The 16,069-nt window shown below is 49.6% G+C and overlaps 1 annotated feature.

The window, feature by feature from the left end:
• Positions 9,147-9,708: an enhancer, noted in NCBI's record as "H3K27ac hESC enhancer chr7:65565192-65565753 (GRCh37/hg19 assembly coordinates)". NCBI's record gives its function as "activates a minimal SCP1, AML or CMV promoter by ChIP-STARR-seq in primed H9 embryonic stem cells {active_cell/tissue: H9 hESC(primed)}" and the evidence as "EXISTENCE:reporter gene assay evidence [ECO:0000049][PMID:30033119]".

The raw sequence follows: 16,069 nt of genomic DNA, 5'->3' as shown, positions 1-16,069 counted from the left end.
GTGAGACTGATTTAGGACTTCTGTATTACTCCATTCTCACACTTCTATAAAGAAATACCTGAAGGCCGGGCATGGTGGCTCATGTCTGTAATCCCAGCACTTTGGGAGGCTGAGGCAGGCAGATCATGAGGTCAGGCGTTTAAGACCAGCCTGGCCAACATGGTGAAACCCCGTCTCTACTAAAAAATACAAAAAAAATTAGCTGGGCGTGGTGGCGCACACCTGTAATCCCAGCTACTGGGGAGGCTGAGGCAGGAGAATCTCTTCACCCAGGAGGCAGAGTTTGCAGTGAGCTGAGATTGCACCACTGCACTCCAGCCTGGGCAACACAGCAAGACTCTGTCTTAAAAAAAAAAAAAAAGGAATACCTGAGACTAAAAAAGAAAAAAGAAATACCTGAGACTAGATAATTTATAAAGAAAGGTGGTTTGGCTGGGCGTGGCGGCTCACGCCTATAATCCCAGCACTTTTGGAGGCCAAGGTGGGAGGATCACGAGGTCAGGAGATCAAGACCATCCTGTCAGTGAAAACCTGTCTCTACTAAAAAATACAAAAAATTAGCCAGGCGTGGTGGTGGGTGCCTGTAGTCCCAGCTACTTGGGAGGCTGAGGCAGGAGAAAGGTGTGAACCCAGGAGGTGGAGCTTGCAGTGAGCCGAGATTCTGCCACTGTACTCCAGCCTGGGCGACAGAGCAAGACTGTCTCAAAAAAAAAAAAAAAAAAAAAAAAAAAAGGTGGTTTAATCAGCTTACAGTTCCACAGGCTCTAGAGGAAGAAAGGCAGCATCTTCTTCTGGGGAGGACTCAGGGATCTTCTACTCATGACAAAGGTGAAGGGGAGCAGGACCAAGAGACGAGGGGAGGAGCTACACACTTATTATTATTATTACTTTATTTCTTTATTTTATTTTTGAGACAGAGTCTCGCTCTGTCACCCAGGCTGGAGTGCAAGAGTGCAGTGGCATGATCTTGGCTCATCACAACTTCCGCCTCCCAGTTTCAAGCAATTTTCCTGCCTCAGCCTCCTGAATATCTGGGATTTCAGGTGCCTGCCACCCTGCCCAGCTAATTTTTGTATTTTTAGTAGAGATGGGGGTTTCACTGTGTTGTTCAGGCGGGTCACGAACTCCTGACCTTGTGATCTGCCTGCCTTGGCCTCACAAAGTGCTGGGATTACAGGTGTGAGCCACCATGCCCAGCCCATGTCTGCAAATTCTCTGACACCCCTCATGGAGTGGAGTCTAACTCCTCCCCACCTTGAACATGGTCTAGCCTTCCTGACTTACTTCCTTTTCTTTTGAGACAGGATCTCACTGTGTATCCCAGGCTGGAGTGCAGTGGCGCAATCACGGCTCACTGCAGCCTTGACCTCCTGGGCTCTGGCGATCCTCCCACCTTAGCCTCCTGAGTAGCTGGGACCATAGGTGCTCACCACCACACCCAGCTGATTTTTTTTTTTTTTTTTTTTGAGATGGAGTAGCACTCCTGTTGCCCAGGCTGGAGGGCAATGGCGCGGTCTGAGCTCCCTGCAACCTCTGCCTCCTGGGTTCAAGCAATTCTCCTGTCTCAGGGTCCCAAGTAGCTGGAATTACAGGTGCCTGCCACCACGCCCAGCTAATTTTTGTATTTTTTTGTAGAGATGATGTTTCACCATGTTGGCCAGGCTGGTCTCAAACTCCTGACCTCAGGCGACCCGCCCACCTCGGCCTTCCAAAGTGCTGGGATTACAGGTGTGAGTCACTGCTCTCGGTAGATTTTTGTATTTTTTTGTAAAGATGGAGTTTCACCACCATTGCCCAGGCTGGTTTCGAACTCCTAGGCTCAAATGATTCTCCGATTTCAGCCTCCCAAAGTGCTGGGATTATATGTGAGAGTTACTGTGCCTGGCCAACTTACTTCTTCTAATTCTGTTTTTTTTTTTTGAGACAGAGCCTCCCTCTGTTTTCCAGGCTGGAGTGCAATGGCGCGATCTTGGCTCACTGCAGCCTCTGCCTCCCGGGTTCAAGCGATTCTCCTACCTCAGCCTCCCGAGTAGCTAGGATTGCAGGCATGTGCCACCACACCCAGCTAATTTTTGTATTTTTAGTAGAGATGAGGTTTCACCATGTTAGCCAGGCTGCTCTTGAACTCCTGACCTCACTCAGGTGATCTGCCCACCTCAGCCTCCCAAAGTGCTGGGATTATAGGCATGAGCCACCACGTCTGGCCCTGACTCACTTCTAAGAGGTAGAATGTGGTCAAAGAGACTGCATGACTGCTGAGGCTGCGTCAGAAAAGGTAATGCAGCTCCCACCTGGCTCTCTCTGGGGCTATGGGCCTTTGGAGCATGAAGCCAGCCTATAAGAAGCCCAGCTGCCTCCACACCACCATGCTGGAGGGATTACATGGAGAGATCACACAGTTATACTGTGAGATGTCCTGTCTGTCCCAGCCCTCAGCCATTCGAGTCTTCCCAGTCTAAATACAAGACGTGTGACTGAGGAAGCTTTTGAAATGATCCCACATGGTGGTGCATGCCTGTAATCCCAGCTGCTTGGGAGGCTGAGGGAGAGTTGCTTGAACCCAGGAGGCGGAGGTTGCTGTGACCAGGATCAAACCACTGCACTCCAGCCTGGGTGACAGAGCAAGACTCCATCTCGAACAATAAAAATAAAAATGAAGGCCGGGTTTGGTGGCATATGCCTCTAATCCCAGCACTTTGGGAAGCCAAGGTGAAAGGATCACGAGGTCAGGAGACAGAGACCATCCTGGCTAACACAGTGAAACCCCGTGTCTACTAAAAATACCAAAAATTAGCCCTGTGTGGTGGTGGGCACCTGTAGTCCCAACTGCTTGGGAGGCTGAGGCAGGAGAATGGCGTGAACCCGGGAGGTGGAGCTTGCAGTGAGCAGAGATCGGGCCACTGCACTCCAACCTGGGTGACACAGCAAGACTCCATCTCAAAAAATAATAATAATAAAATAAAAAATAAAAATAAAAACATGGTCTGGTCTTCATGACTCACTTCCTTTTGAGACAGGATTTCAGCCAGTACTGTAAACATATGAGGAACCATAAGCAAGACCTCCTAGCTAATTCAACCCCCTGAATTATCAGAGGTAATAATTGTGACAGTTGTTTTACAACCTGGGATGTCTCCTTACACAGCAAAAGACAACAGATAGACACATATAGTACTTTGCACATAAAAAACACTGAAAACATAGCAGTCCTGGCCAGGCACGGTGGCTCACTTCTGTAATCCCGGCACTTCGGGAGGACGAGGCGGTGGGATCACCTGAGGTCAGGAGTTCGAGACCAGCCTAGCCACCATGGTGAAGCCCCGTCTCTACTAAAAATAAAAAAATTAGCCAGGTGTAGTGGTGTACACTGGTGTAATCCCACCTACTCAGGAGGCCGAGGGAGGAGAATTGCTTGAACCTAGGAGGTGGAGGTTGCAATAAACCAAGATCGTGCCACTGCACTCCAGCCTGGGCAACAGAGTGAGACTCCATCCCAAAAACAAAAACATGTCAGTCCTAATTGTTATTATTATTTCAAACCAGCTTTATCTTGACCCACTAGGCCCTTATGTATTAATCATAGCAACTATTATTTATTGAACACTTAGTATAAATCAGACATAGCACATATGTGCACACCTTGTTATACTCCACTTTGATTTATTGTGCTTCACAGAAACTGCATTTTTTACAAATTTAAGGTTTGTGGCAACCCTGTGTTGGGTAAGTCTGTCAGTGGCATTTTTCCAACAGCACATGCTCACTTCATACCTCTGTGTCACAGTTCAGTAATTCTGGCAGTATTTCAAACTTTTATTTTATTTATTTATTTATTTATTTTGAGGCGGAGTCTCGCTCTGTCACCCAGGCTGGAGTGCGGTGGCGTGATCTCGGCTCACTGCAAGCTCCGCCTCCCAGGTTCACGCCATTCTCCTGCCTCAGCCTCCTGAGTAGCTGGGACTACAGGCGCCGGCCACCACGCCTGGCTAATTTTTTGTATTTTTTAGTAGAGACGGGGTTTCACCATGTTAGCGAGGATAGTCTCGATCTCCTGACCACGTGATCCACTCGCCTCTGTCTCCCAAAGTGCTGGGATTACAGGCTTGAGCCACCATGCCCAGCCCAAATTTTTAATTATTACTATATCTGCTGTGGTGATCTGTGATCAGTGGTCTTTGATATTACTACTACAGTTGTTTTGGGCATCATACACCATGCCCATTTAAGATGGTGAATTTAATCAACAAATGTGTGTGTTCTAACTGCCTCTCTGACCAACTGTGCCTCCGTCTCATGCCTTCTTGCCCTCTTGAGTCTCCCTATTTCCTGAGACAGAACAATATTGAAATTAGGTCAATTAACAAGCCTACAATGGCCTCTAAGTGTTAAAGTGAAAGGAAGGGTCCTACATGTCTCACTTAATGTCAAAAGCTAGAAATGATTAAACATCATGAGGCAGACATGTTGAAGACTGAGAAAGAACAAAAGCAAAGCCTCTTGTACCCATTAACCAAGTTGTGAACACAAAGGAAAAGTTATTTTTTTCTCTCTCTCTCTTGAGACGGAGTCTCGCTCTGTGGCCCAGGCTGAAGTGCAATGGCACAATCTCGGCTCCCTGCAACCACTGCTCCCGGGGTTCCAGTGATTGTCCTGCCTCAGCCTCTCAAGTAGCTGGGATTATAGGCACGTGCCAACAACCGGCTAATGTTTTGTATTTTTAGTAGAAACGGGTTTTCCCCATGTTGGCCAGGCTGGTCTTGAACTCCTGACCTTAGATGATCTGCCTGCCTTGGCCTCCCAAAGTGCTAGGATTACAGGCATGAGCCACCGTGCCTGGCAGGAAAAGTTCTTGAAGGAAATTAAAAGTGCTACTCCTGTGAACACACGAATGAGAAGAAAGCAAAGCAGCCTTATTGCTGATACAGAGAAAGTTTGGTCTGGATAGAAGATCAAACCAGTCACAACATTCCCTTAAGCCAAAGCCTAATCCAGAGCAAGGTTCTAACTCTCCTGAATTCTATGAAGGCAAAGAGGGGTGAGGAAGCTGTAGAAGAAAAGGTGGGGCTGGGTGCGGTGGCTCAGGCCTGTAATCCCAGCACTTTGGGAGGCTGAGGTGGGTGGGTCACCTGAGGTCAGGAGTTCGAGACCAGCCTGAACAACATGGTGAAACCCCATCTCTACTAAAAATACAAAAATTAGCCAGGCATGGTGGTGGACACCTGTAATCCCAGCTACTTAAGAGGCTGAGACAGGAGCATCACTTGAACCTGGGGGTAAAGGTTGCAGTGAGCCGAGATTGTGCCACTTCACTGCAGCCTGGGCGAAAGAGCAAAACTCCATCTCAAAGAAAAGAAATATATTTTGTGGCCGGGTGCGGTGGCTCAAGCCTGTAATCCCAGCACTTTGGGAGGCTGAGTCGGGCAGATCACGAGGTCAGGAGTTTGAGACCAGCCTGCCCAATACAGTGAAACCTCGTCTCTACTGAAAATACAAAAATTAGCCAGGTGTGGTGGCACGCGCCTGTACTCCCAGCTACTCAGGAGGCTGAGGCAGAAGAATCGCTTGAACCCGGGAGGCAGAGGTTGCAGTGAGCAGAGATTGTGCCACTGCACTCTAGCCTGGGCAACAGGGCAAGGCTCCATCTCAAAAAAAAAAAAAAAAAATTAGCTGGAGGTGAATTGCTCAATCCCATGAGCAAACTTGAATGAATGAGCAATTGCTTCTTATGACTGAGCAAAAAAATTGGTTTCTTCCAATGGGATGTACTTCTGGTGAAGATACTGTGAATATTGCTGAAATAACAGCAAAAGATTTAGAATACTACATAAAAACCTAGTTGATAAAGTAGGAGCAGGGTTTGAGAAGATTGACTCTAATTTTGAAAAAAGTTCTGCCGTGTGTAAAATGCTATCAAACAGCATCACATCCTACAGTGACGGTGGAAGTCAATTGATGCTGCAAACTTCAATGTTGTCTTATTTTAAGAAATTGCGACCGGGCACGGTGGCTCGGGCCTGTAATCCCAGCACTTTGGGAGGCCGAGGTGGGCAGATCACGAGGTCAGAAGATCGAGACCATCCTGGCTAATATGGTGAAACCCCGTCTCTACTAAAAATACAAAAAATTAGTCGGGTGTGGTGGTGGGCACCTGTAGTCCCAGCTTCTTGGGAGGCTGAGGCAGGAGAATGGCGTGAACCCGGGAGGCGGAGCTTGCAGTGAGCTGAGATCACGCCACTGCATTCCAGCCTGGGCGAGAGAGCAAGACTCCATCTCAAAATAAATAAATAAAAATAAATTAAAAAAAAGAAATTGCAGCCAGGCGCGGTGGCTCATGCCCGTAATCTCACACTTTGGAAGGCCAAGACGGCTGAATCACCTGAGGTTGGGAGTCCGAGACCAGCCTGACCAACATGGAGAAAACCCCATCTCTACTAAAAATACAAAAACTTAGCCAGGCATGATGGCGCATGCCTGTAATCCCAGCACTTTGGAAGGCTGAGGCGGGTGACTCACCTGAGGTCAGGAGTTCGAGACCAGCCTTACCAACATGGAGAAACCCCATCTCTACTAAAAATATAAAAAATTAGCCAGGCATGGTGGCACATGTCTGTAATCCCAGCTACTCGAGAGGCTGAGGCAGGAGAATCAATTGAACTTGGGAGGTGGCAGTTGCAGTGAGCCAAGATCCCCCAGGTGTGCACCACCATGCCAGAATAATGAAAACTTTTTTTTTTTTTTTTTTTTTAAGAGATGGGTGTCTCCCTGTGTTGCCTAGGCTGGTCTTGAACAGCCTGGGAAACAGCAAGAATCACTTTCTAAAAAATTAAAAATAAAAAGATTAGCCGGATGTGGCAGCACACACCTAAAGTCTCAGCTACTCATGATGCTGAGGGAGGTGGATCACTTGAGCCCAGGCGTTTAAGGTTACAGTGAGCTATGATCATGCCACTGCATTCTTGCCTCTTTTAGTGAGACCCTCCTTTAAAAAATAAAAAGTTATGTTTACACTCTTCTGTAGTCTTTTATTAATTAATTAACTTTTTTATTTTTTGAGAGGGGGTCTTGCTGTGTCACCCAGGCTGAAGTGCAGTGGCGTGATCTTGGCTCACTGCAACCTCCACCTTCTGGGTTCAAGTGATTCTCCTGCCTCAGCCTCCCGAGTAGCTGGGATTACAGGCACATGCCACTCTGCCTGGCTAATTTTTGTATTTTAGTAGAGATGGGGTTTCACCATGTTGGTCAGGCTGGTCTCGAACTCTTGACCTCAAATGATCCACCCGCCTCTGTAGTCTCTTAAGTATGCGATAAAATTATGTCTATAAAAACAATGTACAGGCCGGGTGCGGTGGCCCACGCCTGTAATCCCAGCACTTTGGGAGGCCAAGGCAGGCAGATTACCTGAGGGCAGGAGTTTGAGACCAGCCTGGCCAACATGGAGAAACCCCATCTCTACTAAAAATACAAAAATTACCTGGGCCTGGTGGCACATGCGTGTAATCTCAGCTACTCAGGAGGCTGAGGCGGGAGAATTGCTTGAGCCCGGGAGGCGGAGTTTGCAGTGAGCTGAGAATGCGCCACTGCACTCCAGCCTGGGCAACAGAGCAAGACTCTGCCTCAAAAAAAAAAAAAAAGAAAGAAAGAAAGAAAAAAAAGTATATACCTTAACTTAAAAATAATGCTTAAAATATTAATGATCATCTGAGTTTTCTTTCAGTAAGTCATTACATTTTTGTTAGTGGAGGGTCTTGCCTCGATGTTGGTGGCTGCTGACTGATCAGGGTAGTGGTTCCTGAAGGTTGAGATGGCTGTGGCAATTACAGGCGTGCACCACCATGCCTGGCTAATTTTTCTATTTTTAGTAGAGACAGTGTTTCACCATGTTGGCAAGGCTGGTCTTGAACTCCTGACCTCGTGATCCGCCCGCCTTGGCCTCCCAAAGTACTGGGATTAGAGGCATGAGCCACCGAGCCCAGGCTTAATACACCATTTTATAAGTTTTTTCTTAGGTAGGGTCTCACTCTGTCAGCTATGCTGGAGTACAGTGACATGATGAGAACTCTCAATGAAGCCTCAAACTCTGGGGCTCAACAGATCCTCCTGCCTCACCCTCCAGAGTAGCTGGGACTACAGGCATGCACCAACATGCCCTTCTAATTTTTGAATTTTTAGTAGAAATGGGGTTTCACCATGTTTGGCCAGGCTGGTCTCGAACTCCTGATCTCAGGCTACCCACCCACCTTGGCCTCCCAGAGTGCTGGGATGACAGGTGTGAGCCACTGTGCCTGGCCTCATTTTTTTTTTTTTACTTCACTTTATTGTGCTTCAGAGATATTGCATTCCTTAACATTTTTTAAATTTAAAAATATAAATAGGCCGGGCGCAGTGGCTCAAGCCTGTAATCCCAGCACTTTGGGAGACTGAGGTGGGCGGATCACAAGGTCAGGAGATCGAGACCATCCTGGCTAACACGGTGAAACCCCATATATACTAAAAATACAAAAAAATTAGCCGGGCGTGGTGGCGGGCACCTGTAGTCCCAGCTACTCGGGAGGCTGAGGCAGGAGAATGGCGTGAACCCAGGAGGCGGAGCTTGCAGTGAGCTGAGATTGTGCCACTGCACTCCAGCCTGAGCGACAGAACAAGACTCTGTCTCAAAAAAAAAAGATAATAATAATAATATTTAAAACAATTTAGATGGGGGGGGGTCTCGCTATGTTGACCAGGCTGGTTTCGAACTCCTGGCATCAAGCAATCCTCCCATCTCAGCCTCCCAAAGTGCTGGAGTTACAGGCGTGAGTCACCATGCGTGGCCCATTTTTTAACATACTAGAGGATTGTGGCAACCCTGTGTTGAGGTAGCGTATTGGTGCCGTTTTTCCAACAGCATGTGTTCATTCGCTGTCTTTGTGTCACATTTCGGTAATTCTTATTGTATTTCAAACTTTATTACTATTTTTTTGAGACAGAGTCTTACTCCATTGCCCAGGCTCAAGTGCAGTGGTTTGACCATAGCTCACTGCAGCCTTGACCGCCTGGGCTCAAGTGATCCTCTTGCCTCAGCCTTCTGAGTAGCTGGGATGACTGGTTTGTGCCACCATTCCTGGCTAATTTTTAATTTTTTTTTAAATTTTTATTTTTGTAAAAACAGGGTCTCACTATGTTGGTCAGGCTGGTCTCAAACGCCTGGGTTTCTAGCAATCTTCCCGCCTCAGCCTCCCAAATAGATGGATTACAGGCGTGAGCCACTGCACCTGGCTCTTTTTTTTTTTTTTGAGATGGAGTCTCACTCTGTCGCCCAGGCTGGAGTGCAGTAGCCCGATCTCAGCTAACTGCAACCTCCGCCTCCCAGGTTCAAGCGTTTCTTCTGCCTCAGCCTCTGGAGTAGCTGGGAGTATGGGTATGAGCCACCAAGCCCGCTTGGCTGTTTCTTTTTCTTCCTCCCTCTTTCCTCCTCCTCATTCTTTTTCCTCCTCCTTCCTTCCTCCTTACTGCTGCCCCCCAAATTGCTGGGATTACAGGCATGAGCCACCGTGCCTGGCAGTTTCCGTCTCTTCCTTCTCCTCCTCCCCCCTCCCCTCCCCTCCTCCTTTACAGGCCTGAGCCACCAATCCATGTAGTTTCCTTCTCCTCCTCCTCCTTTACAGGCATGAGCCACTGCGCTTGGCTGTTTTTTCCTCCTCCTCCTCCTCCTCCTCCTCCTTTACAGGCGTAAGCCACCTCGCCTGGCTGTTTCCTCCTCCTCCTCCTTTACAGGCTGCGCCACCACACCTGGCTGTTTCTCCCTCTTCCTCCTCCTCCTCGTCCTTTACAGTCGTGAGCCACCTCGCCTGGCTGTTTCCTCCTCCTCCTCCTCTTCCTTCTCCTCCTTTACCGGCATGAGCCACCCTTCCTGGCTGTTTCTTCTTCCTCCTGCTCCTCCTCCTCCTCCTTTACAGGCATGAGCCACTGTGCCTGGCTGTCTCCTCCTCCTCCTCTACAGGCGTGAGCCACTGCAACTGGCTGTTTCCTCCTCCTCCTTTGCAGGCTTGAGCCACTGTGCCTGGCTGTTTCTTCCTCCTCTTTCTCCTTTACAGGCGTGAGCCACCACGCCTGGCTGTTTCCTCCTGCTCCTCCTCCTCTTCCTCTTCCTTTACAGGTGTGAGAGCCACCAGGCCTGGCTGTTTCTTCCTTCTCCTCCTCCTCCTCATTCTCCTCCTCCTTTACAGACCTGAGCCAGGGAGCCTGGCTGTTTCTTCCTCCTACTCCTCCTCTACAGGTGTAAGCCACCAAGCCTCGCCGTTTCCTTCTCCTCCTCCCTCTCCTCCTTCTCCCCCTCCTCCTCTTCTCCCCCTCCCTCCTCCCCCTCCTTTCCTCCTCCTCCCTTCTTCCTTTCCTCCTCTTCCACCTCCTTCTCCACCTCCTCCTCCTCCACCTCCTTCTCCTCCTCCTCCACCTCCTTCTCCTCCTCCTCTCCTCCTCCTCCCCTCCTCCTCCTCTCCTCCTCCCCCTCTCCTCCTCTCCTCCTCCTCCCCTCCTTCTCCTCTCCTTCTCTCCTCCTCCTCCCCTCCTCCTCCTCCCCTCCTCCTCCCCTCCTCCTCCCCTCCTTCTACTCCCCTCCTCCTCCGCTCCTTCTCCTCCCCTCCTCCTCCTCCCCTCCTCCTCCTCTCCTCCTCCTCTCCTCCTCCTCTCCTCTCCGCCTCCTCTCCTCCTCTCCTCTCCGCCTCCTCTCCTCCACTCCTTCTACTCCCCTCCTCCTCCGCTCCTTCTCCTCCCCTCCTTCTCCTCCCCTCCTCCTCTCCTCTCCTCCTCCTCCCCTCCTCCTCCTCTCCTCCTCCTCTCCTCCTCCTCTCCTCTCCGCCTCCTCTCCTCCTCCTCCTCTCCTCCTCCTCTCCTCCTCTCCTCTCCTCCACTCCTCCTCCTCCACCTCCTCTTCTTTCTCCTCCTCCTCTTCTTCCTCCTCCTCCTCCATCTCCTGCTCCTCCACTGCTCCTGGCTGTTTCTTCCTCCTCCTCCTCCTCCTCTTCCTTCTCCTCCTCCTCCTCCTTTAACAGGCATGAGCCACCACACCTGGCTGTTTCCTCCTCCTCCTTTACAGGCTTGAGCCACTGTGCCTGGCTGTTTCTTCCTCCTCCTCTTCCTCCTTTACAGGCATGAGCCACGGCCTGGCTGTTTCCTCCCGTTCCTCCTCCTCCTCCTCCCCCCCCCACTCCTCCTTCTTTCTTATGTATGTATTTATTTATTTATTTACTTACTTATTCATTTATTTTTAGACAGAGTCTCCCTCTGTCACCCAGGCTGGAGTGCAGTGGCATGATCTCAGCTCACTGCAACCTCTGCCTCCCGGGTTCAAGCAAGTCTCCTGCCTCAGCTTCCCAAGTAGCTGGGACTACAGGCTCCCGCCACCACACCCGGCTAATTTTTGTATTTTTAGTAGAGATAGGGTTTCACCATGTTGGCCAGGCTGGTCTCGAACTCCTGACCTCAGGTGATCCACCTGCCTCGGCCTCCCAAAGTGCTGGGATTACAGGCATGAGCCACCGCGCCCAGCCACTATTTTTTTATTTATTTTTTAAAGACAGAGTCTTGCTCTTGTCACCCAGGCTGGAGTGCAATGGTGCAATCTCGGCTCACTACAACTTCTGCCTCCTGGGATCAAGCAATTCTGCTTCAGCCTCCCGAGTAGCTGAGATTACAGGCGCCCGCCACCATGTCCAGCTAAGTTTTGTATTTTTAGTAGAGATGGGGTTTCACCATGTTGGCCAGGCTGGTCTCAAACTCCTGACCTCAGGTGATCCACCCGCCTCAGCCTCCCAAAGTGCTGGGATTACAGGCGTGAGCCTCTGTGCCCAGGATTATTGTTTTATTTATTTATTTATTTATTGAGATAGAGTTTCACTCTTGTTGCTCAGGCTTTATTTATTTATTTAATGAGATAGAGTTTTGCTTTTGTTGCCCAGGCTGGTGTGCAATGGCATGATGTTGGTTCACTGCAACCTCCACCTCTGGGGTTCAAGCAATTCTGCTGCCTCAGCCTCCCAAGTAGCTGGGACTAGAGGCGTGCACCACCACACCTAGCTAATTTTTAGCATTTTAGTAGAGATGGGGTTTCACCATGTTAGTCAGGCTGGTCTTGAACTTCTGACCTCAGGTGATCCACCTGCCTCGGCCTCCCAAAGTGCTGGGATAACAGGTGTGAGCCACCGCGCCAGCCTATTATTGTAATAATATCTGTCATGCTGATCTATGACCAGTGATCCTTGATGTTACTATTGTATCCGTCCAAAAGTAATTGCCGGTTTTGCCATTGAAAGTAATGGCACAGCTGGGCGCGGAGGCTCATGCCTGTAATCCCAGCACTTTGGGAAGCTGAGGCGGGTGGATCACGAGGTAAGGACATCAAGACCATCCTGCCTAACACGGTGAAACCCCGTCTCTACTAAAAATACAAAAAAAAAATTAGCCAGGCCTGGTAGCAGGCGCCTGTAGTCCCAGCTACTCGGGAAGCTGAGGCAGGAGAATGGCATGAATCCGGGAGGCAGAGCTTGCAGTGAGCCAAGATCACGCCACTGCACTCCAGCCTGGGCGACAGAGCGAGACCCCGTCTCAAAAAAAAAAAAAAAAAAAAAAGTAATGGCACTAGGCTGGGCGGGGTGTCTCACACCTATAATCCTAGCACTTTGGGAGGCCGAAGTGGTTGGATCACCTGAGGTCAGGAGTTCAAGACCAGCCTGACCAACATGGCGAAACCCCATCTCTACTAAAAATACAAAAAAAATTAACCAGGCCTGGTGGCAGGTGCCTGTAATCCCAGCTGCTTGGGAGGCTGAGGCAGGAGAATCACTTGAACCCAGGCAGAGGAGGTTGCAGTGAACCGAGATTGCGCCATTGTACTCCAGCCTGGGCAACAGAGTGAGACTATGTCTCAAAAAATAAAAATAAAAACAAACAAACAAAAAAAGATTGACAATGGAAGCAGAGAGAGAATTGAAGATGCTACACCACTGGTCTTGCAGATGGAAGAAGGAACTACAAGCCAAGGAATGCAGGTGGCCTCTAGAAAATGGAAAAAACAAGGAAATGGATCCTCCTCTAGATCCTGGCTGACACTTGATTTCTTCTCAGTAAAACCAATTTCAGACTTGTGATGTCCAGAATTATCAGATTACACATGTTGAGCCATTAAATTCATGGTAGGCCAGGTGTGGTGGCTCATGCCTGTAATCCCAGCACTTTGGGAGGGTGAGGCAGGTGGAAGGCTTGAGCTCAGGAGTTTGAGACTAGCCTGGGAAACATAGAGCCCATCTCGATTTTTTAAAAATAAAATGAAATTATTTAAAAAGTTTGGCTGTTTTTTTCTTTTCTTTTCTTTTTTTTTTTTGAGAAGGACTCTCACTCTATCACCTAGGCTGGAGTGCAGTGGCATGGTCTCAGCTGACTGCAACCTCCACCTCCCAGGTTCACGCAATTCTCGTGCCTCAGCCTCTTGAGTGGCTGGGACTACAGGCGTGCACCACTGCGCCCGGCTAATTTTTGTATTTTTATTAGAGATGGGGTTCCAATATGTTGGCCAGGCTCGTCTCGAACTCCTGGCATCAAGTGATCCACTGGCCTCGGCCTCCCACCGTGCTGGGATTACAGGTGTGAGCCACTGTGCCTGGCTTGGCTTGGTTTATTTTTTTTTTTTGAGGTGAAGTCACGCTCTTGTTCCCCAGGCTGGAGTGCAATGGCACAATCTCAGCTCACAGCAACCTCCACCTCCCGGGTTCAAGCAATTCTCCTGCCTTAGCCTCCTGAGTAGCTGGGATTACAGGTGTCTGGCACTGCATCCAGCTTTTTTTTTTTTTTTTTTTTGAGACGGAGTCTCGCTCTGTCACCCAGGCTGGAGTGCAGTGGCGTGATCTCCGCTCACTGCAAGCTCTGCCTCCCGGGTTCACGCCAGTATCCCGTCTCAGCCTCCCGAGTAGCTGGGACTACAGGCAGTGCCTGGCTAATTTTTTGTATTTTTAGTAGAGATGGGGTTTTACCATCTTGGCCAGGCTGGTCTTGAAGTCCTGACCTTGTGATCCACCTGCCTTGGCCTCCTAAAGTGCTGGGATTACAGGCGTGAGCCACCGCACCCGGCCTGTTTTTTTTTTTTTTTTTTTAATGTGGTAGCTGGGATCTTGCTATGTTGCCCAGGCTGGTATTGAACTGAACTCCTGGCTTCAAGCAGTCCTCCCACCTTGGCCTCCCAAACTGTCGGGATTACATGCATAAACCACCGTACTTGGCCTCTAATTTCAGACATCTCTTATCAGGAGTTTGGTGAGATTTGCATAGAAGAGGTCTCTGTGTCACCACGGGCTCTCTACTGAACACTTGCCGTGTGCCTGGCCTGGCCTCAGGGCTCTCTGCAGGCTTGGTGTAGCCATGCCTCCCTTGACTGCAGCAAGGTGCAGGTCCCCTCCAGGCCCTGCATCCCAGTCACCCTCCCCTCAAGGTCAATGTGGGGGAATTTATCTGTACATCACTCTCTAGGGTAGAGGAGGTGTCTGTTTTGCAGGAAGCTAACCCAGTGGCTGGCATCACATACTAGCTGGATGGCTGACCTTACCACTCCATACACCATGCCCCTTAGGAGGTCACAGGTCACCCTTGCGGTGCTGGTACAGGCCTCAGCCTGAGCAATACCCGTGATGGTGCCTGAATGGTCCAGGAAAGGGTAGGTTCAGCAAGGGGTGAATGAGGGCAGGGGGAGCCCAGGGGACGCTGGGAAAGAAGGGAGATGGACAGTGACTGACGGGGCCACCCATACCCATCAGGTCCCACCAGTCCTGCCAATGACACCCAAGGCAGGAGGTCATTTTTTTTCCCCCAATGAGACAGAGTCTCACAATGTTGCCAAGGTTGGTCTTGAACTCCTAGCCTCAAACAATCCTGGCTCAGCCTCCTGAGTAGCTGGGATTACAGGTGCACACCATCATGCCACGCTTTTTTCTTTTCTTTTTTTTCTTAGGTCACTGTGTTATTTTTGTTGTTTTTTGAAACAGAGTCTTGCTCTGTCACCCAGGCTGGAGCCAGTGTCGTGATCTCGGCTCACTGCAACCTCCCCCTCCTAGATTCAAGTGATTCTCCTGCCTCAGCCTCCTGAGTAGCTGGGATTACAGGCATTCCCCACCACGCCTGGCTAATTTTTGTATTTTTGGTAGAGATGGGGTTTCACCCTGTTGACCAGGTTGGTCTTGAACTCCTGACCTCAGGTGATCTGCCCGCCTTGGCCTCCCAAAGTGCTGGGATTACAGGCATAAGCCACTGTGCCCAGCCAGAAAGTTTGCATTTCTAAGCTCCTTGGTGAAAATTATGATGGCCAGGAATGACAGTCTGAGAACAACTGCTCTGGAAGATTTTATCTGTGACCCAGAGCTTTGACCCTTTTGGGGATTTGGTGTCACATCCTCACTGCTGGGGTCTGGCTTTTGGTTCTTTTTTTTTTTTTGAGACACAGTCTACTTCTGTCACCCAGGCTGGAGTGCAGTGGCACAATCTCAGTTCACTGCAACCTCCACCTCCCAGGTTCAAGTGATTCTTCTCCCTCAGCCTCCCAAGTAGCTGGGATTACAGGCATGTACCACCACGCCCAGGAAATTTTTTTTTGTATTTTTAGTAGAGATGGGGTTTCACCATATTGGCCAGGCTGGTCTCGAACTCCTGGCCTCAGGTGATCTGCCCGCCTTGGCCTCCCAAAGTGCTGGGATTACAGGCGTGAGCCACTGCACCCAGCCTTGGTTCTTTAACAAAATCTGTCATTGCTCCCAAAATCACGTGGTAGGGGTTATTCATTCTTCCTTGAGTTTAGCTTGTTTGTCTTTGTTGTTAATAAAATATAAGTTTCAGACATTTCTTATTTTTTGTCTTTTAGGGACAGGGTCTTGCTCTGTTTCCCAGACTGGAGGACAGTGGTGCCATCACAGCTCACTGCAGCCTCCCACTGCTGGGCTCAAGCAATCCTCCCGCCTCAGCCTTCCACGTAGCTGGGACTATAGGCACATACCACCACAACTGGCTAGTTTTTGTTGTTGTTTTTAGACAGAGTCTTGCTCTGTGGCCCAGG

The sequence above is a fragment of the Homo sapiens genome, chromosome 7, assembly GCF_000001405.40.
Source record: "Homo sapiens chromosome 7, GRCh38.p14 Primary Assembly".
Classification (NCBI taxonomy): Eukaryota; Metazoa; Chordata; class Mammalia; order Primates; family Hominidae; genus Homo; species Homo sapiens.
This window is presented reverse-complemented; position numbering and strand designations above follow the sequence as displayed.